Source organism: Homo sapiens, chromosome 9 (assembly GCF_000001405.40).
Source record: "Homo sapiens chromosome 9, GRCh38.p14 Primary Assembly".
In the NCBI taxonomy this organism is placed as follows: Eukaryota; Metazoa; Chordata; class Mammalia; order Primates; family Hominidae; genus Homo; species Homo sapiens.
Window position 1 is genome coordinate 91,790,144 of NC_000009.12, and position 25,318 is coordinate 91,815,461.

General features: G+C 48.5%; 1 protein-coding gene across 9 annotated transcripts in view, besides 1 other annotated feature; it reads right to left on the bottom strand.

Moving 5' to 3' along the window:
* ROR2 (receptor tyrosine kinase like orphan receptor 2) overlaps positions 1 to 25,318 on the bottom strand; it is a 227,628-nt gene that overhangs the window by 67,543 nt on the left and 134,767 nt on the right. The gene's annotated exons all lie outside the window — the stretch shown is intronic.
* Positions 9,544 to 10,044: an enhancer, noted in NCBI's record as "H3K4me1 hESC enhancer chr9:94561969-94562469 (GRCh37/hg19 assembly coordinates)". NCBI's record gives its function as "activates a minimal SCP1, AML or CMV promoter by ChIP-STARR-seq in primed H9 embryonic stem cells {active_cell/tissue: H9 hESC(primed)}" and the evidence as "EXISTENCE:reporter gene assay evidence [ECO:0000049][PMID:30033119]".

Below are 25,318 nucleotides of genomic sequence, written 5' to 3' on the forward strand. Positions count from 1 at the left end.
TGCATTACTCACAGGCTTATAGTGATGCTGTCTAAGCAAACCCACTGCTCTACCAGTCATATAAAAGTACAGCACAGGCCGGGCACAGTGGCTCATGTCTGTAATCCCAGCACTTTGGGAGGCCGAGGAGGGCAGATCACAAGGTCAGGAGATCAAGACCATCCTGGCCAACATGATGAAACCCCCATCTCTACTGAAAAAAAAAAAAATACAAAAATTAGCTGGGTGTGGTGGCGAAAGCCTGTAATCCCAGCTACTCGGGAGGCTGAGGCAGAATAATCGCTTGAACCTGGGAGAAGGAGACTGCAGTGAGCCAAGATCGCGCCACTGCACTCCAGCCTGGTGACAGAGCGAGACTCCGTCTCAATTAAAAAAAAAAAAAAAAGTACAGCACATAAAATTATGTCCAGTACATAATACTTGATAATGACAATAAAGGACTATGTTGTTGGTTTATGTACTTACTATACTATACTTTCTATCATCATTTTACAGTGTACTCCTACTTTCAACTGTTAAACAGCCCCAGGCAGGTCCCTCAGGAGGTATCCAGGAGAAGGCATTATTATCACAGGAGTTGACAGCTCCATGTGTGCTACTGTCCTTGAGACCCTGCAGTGGGACAAGATGTGGAGGTGGACGACAGTGATATGGATGGTATGGACCTTGTGTTGGCCTAGGCTAATGTGTGTGTTTGTGCCTTCGTTTTTAGTTTTAAAAAACTGAAAATAAGAAAGCTTCTAGAATAAAAACATAAAGAAGAAATATCTTTATACAGCTGTGCATGTGTTAGTGCTTTAAGTGTTTTTACAACAGAAAGTTTAAAAAATTTATATAGTAAAAAGGTTACCTTAAGCTAAGGTTAATTTATTATTGAAGAAATAAATATTTTTATAAACAGTCTAGCCTAAGTGTCCAGTGTTTATAAAATCGACAGCAGTGTACAGTAATGCCCTAAGCCTTCACATTCACTCACGACTCACTCACTGATTCACCCAGAGCAACTTCCAGTCCTGCAAGCTCCATTCGTGGTAAGTGCCCTATGCAGATGGTGCATTGAAATCTTTTATACTATATTTTTACTGTACTTTTTCTATATTTAGATACACGAATACCACTGTGTTATAATTGCCTATAATATTCAGTCCAGTAACATGCTGTACAGGTTAATAGCCTTGAAGCAATAAGCTCTACCATATAGCTGAGGGGTATAGTAGGCTAAACCTTCTAGGTTTGTGTAAATACACTCTATGATGCTCACACAATGACAAAATAGCCTGGTGACATATTTTTTCAGAATGTTTCCTACCACTAAGAGATGCATGATCGTATAAGGCAAAAATCATTACTAGAAACAAAGAAGGACATTTTATACTGCTAAGAGGGTCAACCCATCAATCTATTATAAATGTATATGAACTTAACAACAGAGACCCACAATATGTGAAGCAGAAACTTACAGAAATAAAAGGAGACATAGATAATTCAACAATAACTGGAGATGTCAACACTCCACTTTCGATAACAGAAGAACTAGACAATATATCAGTAAGAAAATAGAAGACTTGAACAACATTATAAACCAACTAGATACAACACGAACAGAACACTCGACCCAAGTGCAGAATGTATGTTTTTCCTAAGTGCACATAAAACATTCTCCAAGATACTAGGCCTTTAATACATTTAATACATAACCTTTAATACATTTAATACATAACCTTTAATACATTTAAAAAGATTAAAAATCAAAAAGTATGTTTAACCACAATGGAATGAAATTAGAAATCAGCAGAAGAAAATTTAGGAAATTCACAAATATACGAAAACTAAACAAAACATTCTTAAATAACCAACAAGGCACAGAAGAAATCACACACAAAAATTAGAAAATACTTTGGGATGAACAGAAATGAAACACAACATAAAATTTAAGGGGCACAGCTAAAGCAGAGAAAAATTTACAGCTCTAAATTTTCAGTCTACTTTTTAGAAGATTTTAAATCAACAGCCTAACTTTACACCTTAAGGAATTAGAGAAGGAAGAACAAACTAAACCTAAAGCTAGCAGAAGGAAGGAAATAACAAAGATTTGAAGGGAGATAAATAAAATAGAAATCAGCAAAACAACAGAGAAAAATCGAGACCAAAAGTTGGTTCTATTTTTTTTTTTTTTTTTTTTGAGACGGAGTCTCGCTCTGTCGCCCAGGTTGGAGTGCAGTAGTGCAATCTCAGCTCACTGCAAGCTCCCGCCTCCCGGGTTCACACCATTCTCCTGCCTCAGCCTCCTGAGTAGCTGGGACTACAGGCGCCCGCCACCACGCCCAGCTAATTTTTTGTACTTTTAGTAGACACTGGGTTTCACCGTGTTAGCCAAGATGGTCTCGATCTCCTGACCTTGTGATCCGCCCACCTTGGCCTCCCAAAGTGCTGGGATTACAGGCATGAGCCATGCGCCCAGCCAAGGCCTGGTTCTTTGAAAAGATACTGGCAAACTTTAGCTAGACTGACCAAGAGAAGACTCAAATTATTAATATTAAGAATATTAAGAATGAAAGGCAGGGATTACGTTGACCTTCAGAAATAAAAAGGACTATAAAGGAATATTAAGAACAATTGTGTCCCAACAAATTAGATAACCTAGAGGAAATGGACAAATTCCTACAGAAATGAAAACCACTAAACTGACTCATGAAGACACAGAAAATCTATATAGATCTCTATTAAGTAAAGAGGTTGAATTTATTAAAAACAAAAACAAAACAAAATGAAACAAAACCAAAAAACCCTTCCCAGAAAGGAACACAAAGGACTAAAAGGCTTTCCTCGTGAATTCTATCAAATGTTTAGAGAAGAGTTAAGGTCAATCCTTCATAGTCTCTTCCTAGAAGAAGAGGGGATACTTTCCAACTTATTCTATGAGGTCAGTATTACCCTAATACCAAACCAGACAAAAACATCGAAGGAAACAAAACTATACATCAGTATCTCTAATGAATATAGACACGAAAGTCCAAGAAAATGCAAACAGACAAGCACATCTTCCTTGGAGTAATGTCTATTACTCCATGAAGTCTAACACATGGATTGACAGATCAATAGGATGGAATTTGAGAATAGAGAAATGATCCAAATATGTATGAAAACAAAGATTATTAATAAGGCAATTTTTCAACTAAATGGGAAGATGAAGGATGAATCCATAAATCACTGGAACAGGACAGTTATTTGAGAAAAAAAAAAGCTGAAGTCCTATCTCCTTCTTCATAAAAAGTAAATTCCAAATGATCACAGACTTAAGCATATAATACAAAACCATGAGTGAACAGCTCTGTTCATTAATGAGAAAAAAGACTATAGAAAACCAAAAGCACTTTGGGAGGCTGGTGCGGGTGGATCATGAGGTCAGGAGTCCAAGGCCAGCCTGGCCAACATAGTGAAACTCTGTCTCTACTAAAAATACAAAAAATTAGCCGGGCATGGTGGCAGGTGCCTGTAATCCCAGCTACTCAGGAGGCTGAGGCAGGAGAATTGCCTGAACCTGGGAGGGGGAGGTTGCAGTAAGCCATGATCATGCCATTGCACTCCAGCCCGGGCGACAGTGTGAGACTCCGTTTCAAAAAAAAAAAAAAAGACACAAAGAGTTTACATAAAAATAAAATTGCAATAGCTAATAAATATGAAAAGATTCAAAACTACAGTGCTAATTAAACAGAGGTAAACTGGGATAGGAAAGAGAGTTCATGCATGACAATGGAAGGGCTGGGAGTCGGATACCTATAGCCTGGTCCATGGTGTGAACGATGCCTCAAAATCTCTGCTGCACCATAAGGACTTCTACCAAAACCAGCCATGTGCCTATGCACAGTTCCACAGCCAGGAATTTATCTTCCAGGCTATCTGGAGGTGCAACTATAAGGATGCTTGTTCCAGCTCTGGTTGTCACAGCAAAAGATGGGAGACTATCCAAATACCAATCAAGCCCAAATTCATTAACGAATTACAGTATAGACACACAATTGTTAAATGAAATAGATAACAGTGGATATAATAAAAATACAATAAGGACAGCAATATTCACAAGTTTTGAGTGCTGGGCACTGGCTAAACCACTTCTCCTTAGTTATTTTGTTTAACTCTCAAAACAACACTAAGTTTCTACTGTCACCCCATCACCACTGAATTAATTGTCACACTTCACTGGGCTTGCAGCTTGAAGTAAATCTGTGCATGAGATGCAGAAAGTCGGCAGACTCACCAGTAAGTAAAGCAAGGTGAGAACCACAGTGTGTCCCTTTCCTGCCATTCCTGGACACACACAGCTTGACCTGTTACAGTCACCAGAAATCCCAGAAGAAACAAATCCACATAGAGGCTTTAGGGAGGGAAACCCAGTGAGCTGCTGTCTTAAGTATTTTAGCACATTTAGGCATTTCTTTTTGTCTTTCTCTTTTTTCTTGAGGCAGAGTCTCTGTCACCCAGGCCCAGGCTGGAGTGCAGTGGCGTGATCTTGGCTCACTGCAACCTCTGCCTCCCAGGTTCAAGCGATTCTCCTTAGGCATTTCTTTTTCAATTAAAAAAAAAACTAGTTTAATTTTTCTAATAAAAAAGTAAAACAAAATAATTCACCTTGGAAATTCTGATTTTAATGAGATTCTCTAGTTCTCTAAAAATTTTTAAATATTAATGTATTATAGGCCAGGCGCAGTGGCTCATACCTGTAATCCCAGCACTTTCGGAGGCCAAGGCAGGCAGATGACTTGAGGTCAAGACTTCGAGACCAGCCTGGGCAACATAGTGAAACCCAGTCTCTACTAAAAATACAAAGATTAGCTGGGTGTGGTGGCAGGCGCCTGTAATCCCAGCTACTCCGGAGGTTGAGGAGGCTTGCTTAAACTCAGGAGGTGGAGGTTGCAGTGAGCCAAGACTGTGCCACTGCACTCCAGCCTGGGCAACATAGCAAGACTCCATCTCAATAGAAAAAAAAAAAAGTAATGCATTATATAACAAAATATCAACTGCATGAAACTATATGTAGCTGCATTTAGATTTCTCTGCCTCTAATCGCCCCATGCATTTCTAATATGAGACAGAGTCTTTACATTCTGTTTTCTGAATATCTTCCATCCACCGTCTTTACATATTCAGTGCCATTAGCTGATGTCTGATTTCTACAATAAGAAGAACGAGAATTTTGGAATGAGGACAGAAATGTATATTTTATGGTGACTGTATTGTGGCACTGATGTTGAATATACTTAAGCAGTTTAAACTACTGTTTGTGATTATCATAAAAATACATGTAATTGCCAACTATGAATTTTTTCTTTAAACTAATGGATTAGTCACTTCTAAGCTTTCTCCTTTTAAAAGAATTTATTGAATGAATTAAGTTAGCAATCATATCACCAGACACTGCTTACTTCCCACGCCCCTATAAAAAAGAACATTTTTCAATACATTGTTTTCCCTAATTGAGACTCATAAACTCATAAATCATGGTTGTTTCCGAGCTTTTCCTTGAGGCCTTTTTATTTTCACAGCCAGAAGCCCTAAACTAATCAATCATGGCATCATGTCATGGGTAATTACCACTGGGTGATGTGCCTCCTGTTTCTCCAGGCTAAAGGGAAACTCTCAGCTTGGTATTTTAAAGCACTTTTGTCTGAACAACCAAATAGCACACAGGAACCTCTGTTATGGCAAAAATAAGCATGAATGTACATACAGGTGGGACAGCCTAGGAAACACGTGCACACTCACACCCATGACCCCTGACTCAGAGGCTCCCGGTGATGCCATCCTCACAGTGTTAAGTGACTTGGAAGATGAGACCATGAAAAGAACAAGTGCTGGTGGCACTCCCAGGCAAAGATCCCCAGGCTGGAGGAGTTGGCGCCTGAAGAAAACCAGAGCAAAACCTCAAGGGTCAGAGGGCCTGGGCATCGGTGCAGGGCTCACTTGAGACTGAACACGTTCCCCAGGGAAGATCTGTATGCTTCTAAAGAACACTTTTGGCCAGGCACAGTGAATCATGCCTGTAATCCCAGCACTTTGAGAGGCTGAGGCAGGTGGAATGCTTGAGCTCAGGAGTTTGAGACCAGCTTGGGCAACATGGCAAAACCTCATCTCTACAAAAATTAGCTGGGCATGGTGACGCACGCCAGTAATCTCAGCTACTCTGGAGGCTGAAGTGGGAGGACTGCTTGAGTCTGGGAGGTCAAGGCTGCAGTGAGCCGAGATGGCAATACTGCACTGCAGCCTGGGCAACAGAGTGAGACCTTGTCCCAAGGAAAAAAAAAAAAAAAAAAACATTTTCACATGTTTTACCTTTTCTTTCCAAATTCTCATGGCACATCTTCACTCTACAATTTTTGTGTCTTCCCAGATCTGTCTTCTGGAGTAGTTGTGATAATGTCTATTTGAGGTTCCAGTGTGACTAAGCTATGCCTGGGTACCTGGGTGGGACGCTGACGCCCTGGGCTCAGTGGGAGGGGTTGACATCCTGGATTCAGTAGGTGGGCCTGACAGTCTGGGCTAGTAGATGGGGCTGATACACTGGGACTAGTAGGTGGGGCTGACACCCTGGGCTCTGTGGGCGGGGCTGACACCCTGCATTCTGTGGGCAGGGCTGACACCCTGGGCTCTGTGGGTGGGGAATGACACCCTGGGATCTGTGGGTGGGGCTGACACCCTGGGCTCTGTGGGTGGGGCTGACACCCTGGCTCTGTGGGCGGGGCTGACACCCTGGGATCTGTGGATGGGGCTGACACCCTGGCTCTGTGGGCGGGGCTGACACCCTGGGATCTGTGGATAGGGCTGACACCCTGGGCTCTGTGGGTGGGGCTGACACCCTGGGCTCTGTGGGCGGGGCTGACACCCTGGGATCTGTGGATGGGGCTGACACCCTGGCTCTGTGGGCGGGGCTGACACCCTGGGATCTGTGGATAGGGCTGACACCCTGGGCTCTGTGGGTGGGGCTGACACCCTGGGCTCTGTGGGTGGGGAATGACACACTGGGCTTTGTGGGAGAGGCTGACACCCTGGGCTAGTGGGTAGAGTTGACACCATGGGGTCTGTTAGTGGGGAATGACACCCTGGGCTCTGTGGGTGGGGCTGACACCCTGCATTCTGTGGGCAGGGCTGACACCCTGGGCTCTGTGGGTGGGGAATGACACCCTGGGATCTGTGGGTGGGGCTGACACCCTGGGCTCTGTGGGTGGGGCTGACACCCTGGGATCTGTGGATAGGGCTGACACCCTGGGCTCTGTGGGTGGGGCTGACACCCTGGGCTCTGTGGGTGGGGAATGACACACTGGGCTCTGTGGGCGAGGCTGACACCCTGGGCTAGTGGGTGGAGTTGACACCATGGGGTCTGTTAGTGGGGAATGACACCCTGGGCTCTGTGGGTGGGGCTGACACCCTGCATTCTGTGGGCGGGGCTGACACCCTAGGCTCTGTGGGTGGGGAATGACACCCTGGGATCTGTGGGTGGGGCTGACACCCTGGGCTCTGTGGGTGGGGCTGACACCCTGGGATCTGTGGATAGGGCTGACACCCTGGGCTCTGTGGGTGGGGCTGACACCCTGGGCTCTGTGGGCGGGGCTGACACCCTGGGATCTGTGGATAGGGCTGACACCCTGGGCTCTGTGGGTGGGGCTGACACCCTGGGCTCTGTGGGTGGGGAATGACACACTGGGCTTTGTGGGAGAGGCTGACACCCTGGGCTAGTGGGTAGAGTTGACACCATGGGGTCTGTTAGTGGGGAATGACACCCTGGGCTCTGTGGGTGGGGCTGACACCCTGCATTCTGTGGGCAGGGCTGACACCCTGGGCTCTGTGGGTGGGGAATGACACCCTGGGATCTGTGGGTGGGGCTGACACCCTGGGCTCTGTGGGTGGGGCTGACACCCTGGGATCTGTGGATAGGGCTGACACCCTGGGCTCTGTGGGTGGGGCTGACACCCTGGGCTCTGTGGGTGGGGAATGACACACTGGGCTCTGTGGGCGAGGCTGACACCCTGGGCTAGTGGGTGGAGTTGACACCATGGGGTCTGTTAGTGGGGAATGACACCCTGGGCTCTGTGGGTGGGGCTGACACCCTGCATTCTGTGGGCGGGGCTGACACCCTAGGCTCTGTGGGTGGGGAATGACACCCTGGGATCTGTGGGTGCGGCTGACGCCCTGGGCTAGTGAGTGGAGCTGACACCCTGGGCTCTGTGGGTGGGGAATGACACCCTGGGCTAGTGGGCGGGGCTGACACCCTGGGCTCTGTGGGTGGGGCTGACACCCTGGGCTCTGTGGGCGGGGCTGACACCCTGGGCTCTGTAGGTGGGGAATGACACCCTGGGATCTGTGGGTGGGGCTGACACCCTGGGCTCTGTGGGTGGGGAATGACACCCTGGGATCTGTGGGTGCAGCTGACGCCCTGGGCTAGTGAGTGGAGCTGACACCCTGGGCTCTGTGGGTGGGGAATGACACCCTGGGCTCTGTGGGCGAGCTGACACCCTGGGCTCTGTGGGTGGGGCTGACACCCTGGGCTCTGTGGGCGGGGCTGACACCCTGGGCCCTGCTATCTTGTCCATGAATTTTTCAGTGTGAGATGCCCCCTCTCATCCTCCAGCTCTGTGCTCTACTTTTGTCTACTTTCGTTTTGCCAGAACACAGTGTGGAGGAAATCCTGTGCTTTCTATTGTGACTCAGTTCTGTATCTGTGAAGTGGGTGACCCTTGGGATTGGAGAAGCAGGCGGGAGAGATACACCACGCAGCAGAGACGCTCTGACCCTGTGCACCTGCAAGTGCCTTCACAGAGAAAGAGCAACCTCTTGGAGACTTGCGATTAAGAATTTCCACACAGAAACACCAAGCTGAAGAGAGATCCATTCCCCACCCACTCTGTCTCACACATGCCCCTCGCGCCCTGTCACTCTGATTTGGCATTGTTCCTTTTCTTGTTCTGAATCCACCTGTGTGTGGTGGAGCCAAGTTGTGATGGAGTGGTTTCCTTTTCTGTTGCAGTTCTCTCCCCACCCTCTGGAAGGTATCTTTCCTCTACTCCAGTGGTTTTCAATGACACTGCCCCAGGGGACACTGCCAAAGCCGAAGACATTTTTGATGATCAGACTTGGGAGGTGCCCCTTGGCCTCTCATGAGTGGAATCCAGGGACGCTGCTCACTCCCCCCAACACACAGGACAGCCCAGCATGGAGTATGACCGTCCCAAGTGTGGACAGTGCCGAGACGGGGGCACGCATTCCCCTCCAGCCCACCTTACATTCTCCCTGCGGGCTCTCAGCACGGAGGTGGCCAGCCTTAGAGTTGAAATAAAATGCAGCTATAACGGAGTCCAGCCATCAACTCTGTGCTGCACCCTCTCCCCATGTGCACTCAGAAACGGAGCCCTTAGGAGGTTCTGGCCAGATGGGGGCCATGCAGAGCCTGCCTCTGCCACCTACCAGCCCTGAGCCAAGGCAGGAAACACAGCTTCTCTGCCTCCATCTCCTTAAATACCAAGTAGGGACAAGGAAAGCTCTCTCCAGCTTACTGAACTGTGTCTCACATTCCTGACACACAAGTCCATAAATGCCAGTTGTTTTTCTCCATCTCTCCCCTTTTCTAATTTTTCCACCTCTCACCACTCATTTGGGAAAAATCCCTGATGCCAGCAATGCTCCTGGCCCACTGTACCCCTCAGCAGGGGCCATGGCTCCCTTCTCAAGGAACCCCCACACAGTGGCACCCAGCTCTAGCCCCAGGTGTGCGTGGCCAGGGTCCACCAAACAGCAAGGCCACAGCTGAGGAGTGAAGGGAGACACATGGGGCAGCACAAGCCGTTCAGGCCTTACTTTCCTTTTTTGTGACTTTTGGACATTTGTTCATTCATAACTCATCAGCCTCTTAGAGAATAACATCACTGGCCCGGTGCAGTGGCTCATGCCTGTAATCCCAGCACTTTGGGAGGCTGAAGTGGGTGGATCACCTGAGGTCAGGAGTTCGAGACCAGTCCGGCCAACATGGTGAAACCCTGTCTCTACTAAAAGTACAAAAATTAGCCGGGGGCGGTGGCACACGCCTATAATCCCAGCTACTCAGGAGGCTGAGGCAGGAGAATCGCTTGAACCCGGGAGGCGGAGGTTGCAATGAGCCGAAATCGCACCACTGCCCTCTAGCCTGGGTGACAAGAGCAAGACTCCGTCTCAAAAAAAAAAAAAGAGAGAGAGAGAATAATACCAGTGCAGATATTTCTGTCATCTGTGGTGTACTGCAAAGCACTGTTGGCCAGCACCTCTCTTAGCCAACGATGGGAACATGACAGTTGCTGACTGGAGAGAGACCTGAGATGTCCAGAAACGTCAACTCCTTGAGGACACACGTGGCCTCAAGGAAAGGAGCAATTTCTTTGTGGCCCCTCTTTCTCTGTGGTCTCTAATTTGAGTTACTGAGCTTACTGTATTAAAAATGTTAACACAAAACTGAGGCCATCGAGGCAGATCAGCTTCCTGATCAAGATGGAAAACAGGAAGGGGCGAGGGACCAGAGCACAGCACGTGGGCATCACGCCCACGCACTGCTGTTGTCCTCCCAAGCCATTCCCAGCGGGCTTCACGTGTAGTTACGAGGCCACAGTAAAGTTCACAGCCACGCTTCCAAAGAGACTCGTTATTTGTGCAAACACACACTGGCTTGCAGACAGCAAGGAGCCCTTCATGGGCTTCAGCCCTATTTAAAATATTTACCAAAACAGATGCCAAGTCTGACACCATGTAAAAAGTGGATGAGGAGAAAAGGCCTGGAACACTCTCCTCTTGGAGGGGAAAGTTTTGCAGAAATGAGGATATGAGACCAATGCAGCCAGGAAGGGCCCCTGGGAACTCTGCTACCTATGGGCATGCATGAAACCTACAGAGGGAACAGAATCTCACCCCCTCCCACCCCCACTTACATTTTTGCTCCCACCATCATTTTCATATGTAAAGAATTCAAAGCATGGAGGAGTTTAATTGGACACTTCTCCATAATTAACCACCCTAGCCCAAACCCCTCTGTCTTGCCATGTTTCCATAGTTTACTGCTCTTTGTTCAATCTGGGATAGAAGCGTTCAGCTCCAAATGTTGCTTTGAGTCTTCATTCTTCATGTGAAGGCTCTCGTGTCCATGAAAAGCTTACTAAATAAAATTTGCACGCTTTTTTATTTTATTTTATTTTTGAGATGGAGTCTCACTCTGTCATCAGGCTGGAGTGCAGTGGCGCAATCTCAGCTCACTGCCACCTCCACCTCACGGGTTCAAGCAATTCTCCTGCCTCAGCCTACCGAACAGCTGGGACTACAGGCGCCCGCCACCACACCCAGCTAATTTTTGTATTTTTTGTAGAGACGGGATTTCGCCATGTTGGCCACGATGGTCTTGATCTCTTGACCTCGTGATCACCCCCCTTGGCCTCCCAAAGTGCTAGGATTACCGGCGTGAGCCACAGCTCCTGGCCTGCATGCTTTTCTCCTTGTCCATCTATCTCATGCCGGAATCCCCAGGAGGGGAGAGGAGGAATTCTACCTCCCTACACTAGAAACTGCTATATTCCACAAGTTCACTCAACACAGACAGACCCCACAGGAGGACGCTAAGGAGTCAAAGGATTTTCCAGCAGCTTTGACCTCTGAAAAGGGTTCCTTGACTGGATATGCTGAACATGAACGGGCGGGCTCATGCCAAAGCATGAGCTTGGCAAGGCAGGGTAAAGGACCTGGACTGAAATGTTTGGGGACCATCGCGCACAGCAGGTTCTCAGCGTCTGGGCAGATGGGGCCATGCCCCAGTGCATCCTTGCAGGTTTGCGTGACTGGGCTTAGGACTGACAGCCGAGCCCAAGCCATTTGCTTGACGAAGCCCATCATAAACAAACCTTTTCTTAATTTGGAAGGTGTTTTTTTTTTTTTTTTTTTTTTTGGAGATGGAGTCTCGCTCTGTTGCCCAGGCTGGAGTGCAGTGGCGTGATCTCCACTTACTGCAAGCTCTGCCTCCCAGGTTCACGCCATTCTCCTGCCTCAGTCTTCCAGGTAGCTGGGACTACAGGCGCCCGCCACCAGGCCCGGCTAACTTTTTTTTGTATTTTTAGTAGAGATGGGGTTTCACCATGTTAGCCAGGATGGTCTCGATCTGCTGACCTCATGATCCGCCTGCCTCGGCCTCTCAAAGTGCTGAGATTACAGGCGTGAGCCACCGCGCCTGGCCAATTTGGCTCACTTGGCCCAACCTGTCCTTTTGTATCACCCAGCAGAACTTGGAGGCATTTGGGTTTGAGACCCCTGCCCAGTCTCAACTGCAGGGAAAAGGAGCGACTTCCAGAGGCATCACTGCTTACACCCAAAAGACATAAGGGCAGCATTGTCTCTGGGCAGCAGTTTCTGTAAACACCATTTAAACACAGGCAACTTCAACCACAGGGCTTGGCAAAGAGAAGGAAATGGAGAGAGCTGGGGAGAGAGAGGGCAAGGCTTACAAAACTCCAGTTTCAACAGCACCAGCAATGCCTCCCCTTCTGCCCAAGGGAAACGGACTGAATCCAGCCTGCAGTGGCACGAGGTGCGCAGAAAGCCAAGGTGGAAAGAACGTGAGAGGTTTTCCTGGTCTCCCAATCACTGTGGAAGTGGAGGAACCACCACACTATGACTCCAAGAGGAAGGCGAAAGGCATTCAGGGGCCACACAAGAACAAACCAACCACAAAATGGGCAACAAACTTCAGCAGACATTTCTCCAAAGAAGACATGTATATGGCCACCGAGCACACCGAAAGATGCTCAACATCGTTAGCCGTTAAGGAAACGCAAATCACAACCACGACAACAGGTTATCAGCTCACACCCACTAAGGCAGCCGTAAAAACAGAAAATAACAAGTTTTGGTGAGGAGGTGGAGAAACTGGAACCCTGTGCACTGCTGGTGGGGGTGCAAAATGGTGCAGCCTCTGTAGAAAATGGTACAGAAAAAAATTACAAAGACGGGGAGGCAACCCAAGTGCCCTCAGGTCGGATGAAGAGATAAACAAATGTGGTATATTCCACAACAGAATATGATTCAGCCTTGAAAAGAAAGAAAATTCTGTCATTTGCTACATCAGGGATGAACCTTGAGGACATTATGCTAAATATGCCAGCCACAAAACGACAAAGGCTATGTGAATCACTTCTGTGAAATATCCAGAGCAATCAAATCCACAGAAACAGAAAACAGAATGGAGGCTGCCAGAGGCTGGAGGAGGGGACAGGGAGTTGTTTAATGTTTCTGCTATGCAGGATGAAAACAGTTTTGGAGACTGGTCACACAACAACGTGAATGTATCAGAACTGTACACTCAGAAATGGTTAAGATGCTAAATTTTCTGTTATGTATTTTTTAACACAATTTTTTAAAAACCATGCAAACTATGAGAATTTCACAGAAGGAGACAACAACAAAAAAACCCACATAGAACATTCCAAGAAGAGAAGCATGCCCTGGGTGGAACCACAGCCAGGCATGGACATACACGGATGTGTTTCCCTTCATGACTGCATGTGGCCTTGCGTATGGGTCCTTGGGGGGCCCACAGCCCTACGTGGGCGTACACACAGATGTGCCTCCCTCATGACAGCATGTGGCCTTGTGCATAAAACCGACAGCTTATACTTTCCAGGGACCTTCAGTCATTTTCAAGAATTGCTTTGACTGTGCAAGTCCTGCTTCATGGTAGACCTTACAATCTCTGCTGAATGTGCAACTCCATGGCATAAAACACCTTATTAGGGAGTTGACTTTGAGGACACACCACATATTTTCTGGGATGATCTCTTCTCTGGATGAAAAGATTTGAGATTTCGTTATTAATTTGCTATGACCCTAAAATCACCAGAAACACACTCATTTCTGACCTTTTGACATTAGGAGAGTGGCTTGTGGCTGAGTCTACTCATCTGAAAATAGGAACCATCATGGTATCATCCACCCTTCAAAGCTGCTCAGCACAGAGCCAGGCCTGCCACACGGCTCCGTCAGGGTCCCATTGCAAGCATTGCCACTATCAAGGCTAGCAGCAGGAATGGCAGGCTCAGGAACTGGCAGGAGGGAAGAGTTTACCACCACCTTTGCCTCTCTCTCTCCTGTGTTCCAGCAACCCTCTGATTTGAAACGTTGAGGCAATTAACACAGCCCTAATTCCCAGAAGCTATTGTAGCAGTGCGTGTGCCAGCCCCACAGCTGCCAAGGCCACAAAGCCACCCTTGGGGGACCTTTGCTCGACAGCCTCTTATTAAACTCCAGCCTCATGGAACTGCCAGGCCAGGGAGCCTCCAAGTGTCAAGGGCTTAGCACCCCTGCGGCCGTCCTTGGAGACTGCATGCTCATCTCCTGAGGAGAGAGAAAGGCGGCTCACATGGGCCACGCTTTAGCCAGGGTGGCAGAGCGTCATGCGGCCTGTACTTCAGTTCCAGGCATGCCTTCACTGTGCAGCTGCCTTGGGCTCCTGCCGGCTCCTGCCCAGGGCTAATTCCTAAATTCCCAATTCACCAACTAGGGCCAATCTTTAGAGATGAAACTACAGCAATGGATTCAGAGTGGGGGGGTGGTCACAGAACTGCACTCTGAGATGAGAAGCATGAATGAGAACGGGCTGTCAGGCTCCTCTGTCAGTTGACTGAGTTATTTTTACTTAAGTTAGCTAGATCATTCAAACGCTTCATTCTACTATCTAGCCCTCTCTATGACTGCACACCCACCCCCTAGGAAATTCCTTTTTCTTTCCTTTGTGATTTAAAAGCTAAAACCAAAATGCTTCATAGGAATAAGGTATGTACCCTTAGCCCTCCTTTCTCACAGAAAAAAGCATTTATTCAAAGTACTTCACATGGTAGGACGAAAGTAGTATTTAATGATGACACCCAATTAAATGGCTTCTGGCCTTCCAAAGCCACATGACTATCCTCGAGTTCCCTGAGGGTGAGGCCCCTCAGAAGCCCTGTCTGCCTCAGTGACCACTGCACATAAGGTCATGCAGAAGCCTCTGGTGCCAGCACCACCTGCAGGCCTCTGGACACCTTTGCTCGGCCTGGGACAGTCACATGGCCATGCAGTTCTGTCCATCCACTCCAAGACACGGAGTTAGGGGCAGGGGAGAACAGATTTGAGAGACCATCATCCAGCATTCCTTCTCCCAGCCTGGGGCCCAGGTACACAGGTGAGGACCCCAAGACACAGCCTCATGGCAGTCAGCGGCTGCTCCTGGGATTCCAAGTTCTCCTATCAGCCCCTCTCCTTCCATTAGTTTCAGCTTCCCTCCTTCTCTTCTCCTGTTCCTGAATAAGTCTCTACTTCTCAGCTAGAGCAGGAAGCCTAAACAGGCTGCTCCCCCTAGCCGGAGAGGCACACACTCTCCACATGAAAGCTGGAAATCTAAATCACACTCACCAACCTAAGGAGTGGCAGAGGAAGAAATGCCAGCGTGGCCTGGGCATGTCTTCATAGGATGGCAGCAGAAGTACATGTACACACCCATGCACATGCTCACACACAAGTATGAACATACGTACACACACCCACACACACACATATGCACACCTTTCAACCCAACGCCGAGGGGTGAATACAGAAAGAAGAAAGATGGGAAGATGAAATTCCACTCAAAAATGTCCAGCGAGATTGCATTCCTTCACCAACACTGCCCTCCCCATGAGGGTGCAGGTACAGACTATGCCCAGATGACATCCTCACAGGGACAAAACTGATGGAATCGCACAAACTATCACCACTCCAGAGAAGTCCAAAGCCTCAGTAAGTATATTCGGGCAGTTGAGGGGCACTTGAGGATTCAGTGCAATTCAACAAGCCTGATTTTAATTTGATGATGAAAAAGTACAACTGCATACAATGTGCCTTTTCAAGGTAGAACCGGCTGCTTTGTGTGACTGTTCGGGTGTGGAGGGCTGAAGAAAGGACCCAGCATGGCTTATTAGCAGAAATAGGGACAGGGGGTTCTCTCAGTGCACCTGAGCCACTCTAACAGCATACCATAGACCAGGCAGCTTATAGGCAACAGAGATCCGTTTTCAGTGCTGGAGGCTGGAAAGCCCAACATCAAGGCACTGGTGAATTCATGTCTGATGAGGGTCCACTTCTTGGTTCATAGACAGTACCTCCTGGCTGTGTCCTCACATGGCAGAAGGAGAAAGGGGTCTCTCTGAGGCCTCTTTGTTAAGGGTGCTAATCTCACGTATGAGGGTTCCACCCTCCTGATCTCATCATCTCCCAAGGTCCCTACACCTCCTAATACCATCACCTTGGGGGTGAGGATTTCAATATAGGCATTTTACGGAGACACAAACATTCAGACCATGGCAGGGGGCAACAGTGGTTTGGAGAGAGGAAAACAGCAAGTTCTATTTTGGACCTTGTGATATTATGATCATATTAGTTTTGTTTGTTTGTTTGTTTGTGACAGAGTCTCGCTCTGTCGCCCAGGCTGGAGTGCAGTGGCACGATCTCAGCTTACTACAAGCTCTGCCTCCCGGGTTCACGCCATTCTCCTGCCTCAGCCTCCCAAGTAGCTGGGACTACAGGCACCCACCACCACACCCGGCTAATTTTTTGTATTTTTAGTAGAGACGGGGTTTCACCGTGTTAGCCAGGATGGTCTCGATCTCCTGACCTTGTGATCCGCCCGCCTCGGCCACCCAAAGTGCTGGGATTACAGGCATAAGCCATCGCGCCTGGCCGATCATATTGAGTTTTGTCCACAGCTCCTTGCTCATAATTTTTTGTTATAATGTTGGGGTGCTTTAGGCTTCAGAAGCAGACTTGGGAAACAGAATCTCTGACCTTCTCCTGCCCTCCTTTCACCTGCCCAAAGCAGGACTTAATCAGACTTAGGGTCATAAAACTCTCATTCCAGAAGGGGTCCTGCCCCCTACCCTGGAAGGCTATGTAGAGAAGGAAGGCTACATAGAGAGGCCAGGAAGAATTTGAACAGACGGTCCTTGCTGGAGTTAGATCATATCCTTTTTATCCAATCACATTTTGACATGGTTGTCCACGCTGCAGCCTGGACAACCAATGAAGCCTCCATGAAAGGCCCAAAAGACAGGGTTTGGAGAGCTTCCTGAGAGATGAACACGTGGAGGCCAACAGGAAGGTGAAGAACTCATCCACGTGCTGGGAGGGTGGGGCACCCCAACTCCACAGGAACAGAAGCTCCTACACTGGGGACCCTTCCAGACCTCGCCCTGTGTATCCCTTCACCTGGCTGTTCATCTGGATCCTTTGTAATACCCTTCAAATAAACCAGTAAGTGTGTTTTCCCCAAGTTCTGTGAGACACTCCAGCAAATTAAACAAACTCAAAGAGAGAGCTGTGAAAACCCCAACCTGAAGCCAGTAGGTCAGTTGGAAGTTCTGGAGACCTAGACTTGCAACTGGTGGGAAGAAGAGGCAGTCTTGCAGAACTGAATCCTCAATGAGGGGGGATCAGACGCTACCTCCAGGTAGACAGTGTCTAAAGTGGACTGGAGGACACCCAGCTGGCGTCCACTGCTTGTATGTGCACAAAAATCTCCACATTTGGTCACAGAAGTCTTCGTCTATGTTGGTGATTGTTGCTGTGGTGTGAGAGCAGAGGAAAAATACTTGAGAGTTTTTCCAGAACAGGCCTGTTGGGGAAGTCAGTGAGATCACTGTACACTATGACACGGCGACCCTCTCCAAGCTGATCTGACAGATGACACTGTCCATTTCTTCTGTGAAAGGTGCTGATGGATGAATGCCTCTTGCACCAGCTAAGACTTGTGCTCACCCAGGGCTAGCTCGGTCGCAAGCCTGTCTATACCAGTTGTATTTGTTACTATAATTATGTTGTTTAGGTACCTATTGCAAAATGTGACGTCACCTGACAGCTAACAAGAAGAAAATTATTTCTATAAACACTAAGCGGAATGCTTTAGGAAAAAAAAAAGTGGGTTGCTTAAAACAGCTACTTGTGCATATGATGACAGTAAAACACTGAAGTGAGGGGGTGAAAATCTATTAGGATCCTGCATTTTCCAAGTGTCTTAAGAGTTTTTGCCCATTTTAAAGGAACTGAAACCTGAGAATCACTAAATATGCACTTTGAATGTGGTTGATGTGAGAAACATAAGGTGGCATTCCAATCAGTAAGCCTCTCCTCAATTAAAATCTTCATAAATTGGCCAGGCGAGGTGGCTGACACCTGCAATCCTAGCATTTTGGGAGGCCGAGGCGGGCGGAAGAGGTCAGGAGATCAAGACCATCCTGGCCAACATGGTGAAAGCCCGTCTGTACTAAAAATACAAAATTAGCTGGGTGTGGTGGCACATGCCACCCAGCTACTGGGGAGGCTGAGGCAGGAGAATCACTTGAACCCGGAAGGTGGAGCTTGCAGTGAGCCGAGATCGTGCCACTGCACTCCAGCCTGGTGACAGAGCAAGACTCCATCTCAAAAAAAAATCATAAATTATCATGCATTGTAAGTAAGGTAAAATGTGTGAAGTAGGCTGGGCACGGTGGCTCACGTCTGTAATCCCAGCACTTTCGGAGGCCGAGGAGGGCGGATCACGAGGTCAGGAGATCGAGACCATCCTGGCTAACACGGTGAAACTAAAAATATAAAAAATATACATATTTTTTTTTACTAAAAATATAAAAAATATATACTAAAAATATAAAAAATTAGCCGGGCGTGGTGGCACGTGCCTGTAGTCCCAGCTACTCAGGAGGCTGAGGCAGGAGAATGGCATGAACCCGGGAGGCGGAGCTTGCAGTGAGCTGAGATCGCGCCACTGCACTCCAGCCTGGGCAACAGAGTGAGACTCCATCTCAAAAAAAAAAAAGTGTGAAGTATTAAACTGTTTTGGGCTGTCATTTGGAAATGGACATGCCCTAGGGGATGAAAGGTTTCCTCTCCCCTAAGAATATTAAATCAAATCCTCTTGCCTCCATGTTGCACATCCCTGTAGCTGACTTCCTTCAGGGGTCCCCAAATAGTCTACAATGTCACTCCTCCCTTCCATCTCTCCCCACCAGGTGTTCTTTTATGCCAATATTCCCTGGAAAAACCAAAAGGATACATGCAGATAATTTGCTCAATGGGAGTGTCAGTGTGAAGTCTAACATTTTGCTCCTGAGTCAGTACACAGTTGAGACTCCTTTTCAGCTGACCCCAACCCTCTGCCATTGTGAACCCACCAGGAACAGTGGGCACCAGGCACACAGCTTTTCTCTGCCTTCTGTTATTTCAGCTTCTTTGCAAATGGCCACATTCATTTTCACAGCCACTGTTAGGGCAAAAGCAACAATTCTGCTTCACAGTTCTCTCCGCACAGCTCTTAATAAGCCACTGACCCCTCAGCCCCACAGAGAGCTGGGGGTGCAGCAGTGCAGCCCACGCAGTTAGCACCAACCGGGCAGGTCCAGGGCCAAAGCCAAATCCTGCTCAGTGGCCAGCGGCACTCGCCAGTGTGACTCATTTTTAGCAATTCACAGACATGCAGCAACATCTTGGCTTGAGGCGTCTGGGGTACAGCCGGCAGCAAGAGTGGGCAGGCGCCGTGGGCGTCCTCACCACTGCATGTTCAGAGCCCACATGCCCACAGACCAGGCTGGTGAGGCTCCCGGCTCCACTGCCACCTTCAAGGGTCACTGCTAACCTTGCTGGGAATGGGAAGGGCATCACCACAAACTGCCCTCCGCACATCTTGACTCAGCAACAGTGTCCAGTGTCCAAGGGCAGCTGGAATTGAAACGAGTGCCTCTCTCACACGTCATTTGTGGCAACTTGGTAAAGCTGATCTTGCAATGCACCGAGGAGCAAGTGAGACCCCACACAGGCTGCTCAGCGACTAAATCGGCCACGCCACACATGACCCCCAGTCCCGCCCTTCAGATGCCCCAGGGCAAGACAGCAGGCACAGGGCCTCCAGCCCCCATGTCGGCGGAGCCAGCACCAGCAACCCTGGGCTGAGACATTTCCCACCATGCCCGAGGCTACGGTGGCGACAGAATCAGAATGGGGTCTATGGTTTCCTGAAGTTCACCAGGGCTTGGCATCGGTACTGGGCTGGCGTCTTTGGGAAGAGTTTGAACAGCTACACTATCTAGTGTATGCAGCAAGCCAGACATGTTCTCAAGCACTCAGGTGAGAGAGTTCACGTGGCAAACATGAGAAGCCATCAGCAAATGCCTTCCCAGAGGCGAGTTTCAGGCCCGAAGCACCTGCGGGATTGACGGGTGCGGTTTTGCCTTCTGCTTGAACAGATGTTCTCCCGGGCTTTACCTCCTTGTAAGACACGATCATCTACTTCCGCAGACAGTGCCTAAACATGCCAACCCAGCTGGGACCCTCTGCTCTGCACTTCAGCTGCAAGCAGGGCCCGGCCCAGGCCCTTGTGTTCTTTACCGTTAGCGGCAGCAACACCTCAGTAAATTCCACCTCAGACAGGGCATTCACACAGGACGCCTGTCCGGTCACTCTCGGCAGAGGCTGCATGCTCAGCAATAAAGGCTGCCACAAGGACAACCGCAGGCAGCACCGGGAGCCCTGCGGTCTGTGTCACCAGGTGTGGCCGGAACAGGAGGGACGACGCTGGCCTCTGCATCCCAGTGGAGTCTACGTTTGCGGGTCACACACAGGGAATGCGGCCCTAATTAGGACCCCACTTCGCTGTGAGGAAGACAGACCCAGAGGGGAGACATCGGCACTCTCATGCTGCACAGAGGCTAGGACCTAAGCCCCACCTGGCATAGGAAGGTACAAGGACAAGTGGTATCGATTCTGGTGTCACACGTCACGTGGTTCTTTTTCTCAGCAGAAACTATAAGATGCAGTTTCTCATCAACAGAGCAAGTGGCAAACTCATGGGAATTCCCCCTCTCTTCGGCCTGAGGAGGCTGGCTAGGAGGAAAAGGGACACTGGCTCTGGCAGCTGGGGGACAGGAAGCAAATGCCCATACGAATCTTTCCTTCCCACACCTCCCCTAGGCCGGGACAGCGGCGCTGGTGGGGGAAAAGCTGTCAGGGCCTCTGCCAGCCCTCCGTGCAGTAGTGACAGGCAAAGGTGGGAAAAGCTGTCCCTCCAGGGGAACCCAGGCCCAGACTGCACGGGAACCACGGGGGAGCGCAGGGCCCACATGGGGACATCCTTTTGTGTGGCCGGGGGTGCTCATTCGGCCCGTGTGGAAAGCTGGCCACTGCCCCAGGTCCGCCCCAGCGCTTCTCCAGTGAGGGGGAGGGTCTCTCTGAGGAAGGGGCTGTGTTAATCATGCCTTTATATTTGCTGTATTTCTGGATATTTTGACATCTGGGGCCTTGCTGATCCTAGAGATATGGCCCCTCTCAATTGCTAGAAGGGCTGGCCAATTCCTAGAGGGAAGCACTCATCACCTGCTAGTGGGCCTTCATAGGCAAACCAACCACACGGAAGCCACCCAACTACCTCCTCATGCAGCTCTCACCCTGGGCCACCATTTCCTGGCCACAGACACCCAGGGCCGGGGATCCGACAGCCAGGGGCAGCCCCACACCTGGAACATGCTGACATGCCTGCCCTGTTTCCCTGCACTCCCTCAGCCTCCTGCTGATCTCAGAGTGGTCCCTCACAGCAAGCCTCCTCTTCTAGGGTTTGTGACACAAGCCATTTCCGTATCTGTGTGTCTTTCTATTCCTGGTTAAAACAGATCCCGGCACACTTTAAAATGGGGCCTTGCTCCCAGGGGAGCTCCCCACACACTCCAAGTGCCTGCCTCCTTTTTACTCTGGTTTGGTCTTAGTCAGGGATATCCAATCTTTTGGCTTCCTTGGGCCACACTGGAAGAAGAATTGTCTTGGGCCACACATAAAATACACTAACACTAATGACAGCTGATGAGCTTAAAAAAATGCAAAAAAAAAAAAAAAATCTTATACTGTTTTAAGAAAGTGTAAGAATTTGTGTTGGGCCACATTCAAAGCTATCCTTGGCCACAAGTGGCCCACAGGCTGGACAAACTTGGTCTCGGTGTTCCATTCACTTGACTCCTCGTCTCTGCTGAAATCTACACAATCCCTTCGGCTCCTTGTGTGTGTTTGTGTGAAATCCCTACATCACATCTCTTGGAAGTAGAGATGCAGAAGAAAACGGGCGGATTTAGCAAACAGGTCGTTGAGATTACCCGATCCTTCTATTTTTCCCAAGTAGGTAATCTTAAAACAAATACATCCTCAGGCTCCTGCGCGGGGGCCGGGCATGTGGGGAGGGGGGATGTCAGGGGAGGCCTCAGAAGCTAATCCACGGATTGATGGTGACTGTGAAAACCAACACTGAATGTTATTTCCAACATAAGGCGGGATCAGCACCTCTGAGGGTCAGGCACACACGTGTGTGTGGCCTGTCCTCCCCGCCCCACCCCCCCCACACACACGTGTGTGTGGCCTGTCGCACACACTGGGGCCCACTGAAATAGGCCTTGGATTGGAGCTGGGTGTGTGTGAACTGTGCTATTGGTGGAGAGAAACCCAGTAATCCCTCACACCCGTGGGACTTTCTGCCTTGTCCCTTTCTCCTTGTAAAGAAAAATAGTTAATTTTACAGGTCTTCAGATAATTCCCACTTTGGCCAAAAAATAAAAAGAGGGAGGCTTCATTCTACCCCTTCACCAAAGAGAGACCCAGCCAAAGACTGTGTTGACTTACAGAGCTCAATTTATTATGCTCTGAAAGCCATAGCATTAGGCTCTCTACCTGGAGCCAATGTTTGTGGTTCTTTTTCACATGTACATCTGTCTCCTTACCGTAGAATTCACCTCAATCATATGCCTCTGTGGTTTGCCCTTAATTATTTTTTCAATACTAGGAGAGGCTAACCAAATGCAATCCTCCATACAAAGTTCATCATCATTGCCCACAACAGCCCTGCCAGGGTGCCCATCAACACTGGCCACCTAGGTGACATTTACTTTTAGAAAAAAAAAATAAAAATTCTGGCAGGTGCTGCCCCCTCAAGATTAATTCTCAGCAAAGGAAATATAACAAAGATCTCCTCCTGGCACAATGACAAAAAAACACATAAACGAAATGTCGACCTTCTACAGTTGACATCACTCACACCCCTCGCTCTACAAAGGCCTACAAATTACAGCTGTTGATGTTTTCCCATAACCTAAACTTTCACTCTACAAAACTCTGACTTGTCTAAATGTATTTATACTCTTGGTAATGGAGGGCTCATTATTTACACTGGTTGTTTAAACAGTAACCAGATTGTTTGGGGCTGGCGCGTCTGGGTCAGGATGGGTTTGCCGTCTGTGGAACAGCACTCAGGGCCCACTGGGTGGAAGGAGCCACAGAAACTGGCGAGGGCAAAGTGGGAGTCAAGAAAGGGGCTTTGTGAAAACTGAAACTAGGCCTACACTGTGGATCCTTGAGGAACCAAACTGCAACGCAATGTCAGAAAACACCCAACCCCAGAAACCCAATGGGCCCCGCCTTGAACCCAGAGCAGCTTCTGGAAGATTCCAGCGTGTCCCATTTCCTCAGCTGCGCTTTGCCACTCCATATGAATTCAGGGCCCCCTCTAGAAACCTCTCTGAGAGCCCTTTCTGACTCCCTTCACCAAAACACTCCATCCTAAACTCTAAGTCCTCAGAGAGCGTGTTTACCGCCTGGGAAAAATGAGGCTTCCCCATGCCAGAGTTCAGAAGGCCCTTGGACACTGGAAATGAGCAAAACTCACTCAGAAAACTTAAAGGGGGCAGCAAGAATGAGAGCTGAGGGCCTATGGGACATGGTGGCACTGAAGTATAATCCTGAGCTGTACTGCATTTTCCCTCCTAAAGGAGAAGATATTGCAAAATAAGATGCTCTGTCAAGAAGAAAAATGTTCCAGCCGGGTATGGTGGCACACACCTGTAGTCCCAGTTACTTAGGAGGCTAAGGCAAGAGGATCGCTTGAGGCTGGGAGGTCGAGGTTGCAGTGAGCAGAGATCATACCTCTGCACTCCAGCCTGGGTAACAGAGGGACACCCTGCCTCTGAACATAAGAATAAAAGAAGGAAGAAGAAAGGAGAATGTTTGAGGAAAAAAATCAAAGTGAAAGAAACCTTGATCTATTTTTGATCGTGGAAGGCATCCCTCTGCCTCTAGAAGGCAACAGCCTGGCTCTGTCACTTCCCCAGAGAACAGAAACCACTCCTGTCCGTTCGTCAGAGGCCACGCACTCTAGCCTCCCCTTACCCCACGCACACTCCAGGGAGAAGAGCGGCCATCCATCATTCAGGTGAGACAGGCTCCGGAGGGCCCTGGCATGACAGCATCATCCTAGAATCTGGCCCCCTCCATGACTGCCAGCCGCTGACAAGCCATGACTTCTGAACACAAAAATAACATCACTATAAGCGATACCATTAAAGCAGACCAGCTGTTACATACCACTCTTTGGAAGAAATCCACAAATTAAAGACAAAAAGTTAACCTGAGATCCCCCACGTTTACAGGCTCCCTCATTAAGTCAAATGGTAGGGCATTACCACCATGTGCTCCTAATTTCTTCTCTGTAAGATAAAAATGACAGGGTTCTGCCTTTCAAGGATCTGGGTGATGCTGTGAAGAAGGAAAACTCCCAGGAAGGGAGCCAGTGTGGCCATGAAGTAACACACACCTCCGGCATGGCTGGACGATGGGCCCATGGGCCGTGGAACGTAAAACACAAAACAAAGACAACCCAGCTGAAACCCAGGCCCGGCTGGTTTCCACGGGCTTAGAGAAGCACTCTGGGCCCCCTCCTCACCCCACAAGGGCTGACACAGTCGGTGACAATGCCTCGAAGCACCTGCAAGTGATTGTCCCCAGCAATGACTCAGAGGTGTGCCCTCTCACTGCCTGTTCAGAAAACAGGACACAGAAAAATATTAACAGCTATAAGGCAGAACCAGGTAATACAAGTAATTTAATTCTTGTAGGGAATTGAGGAGTCCTGCTTACTGAATGGGTTTAAGAAAAAGTTCATGGTTATATAGATTATGTTTCAAGAAGGAAATCCAGTAACATTAAAAAATACCTTTTTCCATAATAAATGATATGCATTACATTTTAAAATGATCTATGGTTTCCAACATGCCATGTTACAGATTCATGGTGTGTATAAAATGATTTTTCTCTTATGATCAGTTATTACAGAGCGGTATAGCTTCCTCTCAGGAGCAAAGAAACCACAGGCATTTTCATTCATAATAAAAGTTGTCACATGGTTTGAAAAATAAACTTTAAAGGCAATTACAATACATGGGTCAAAAAAAAAGGTGCTTAA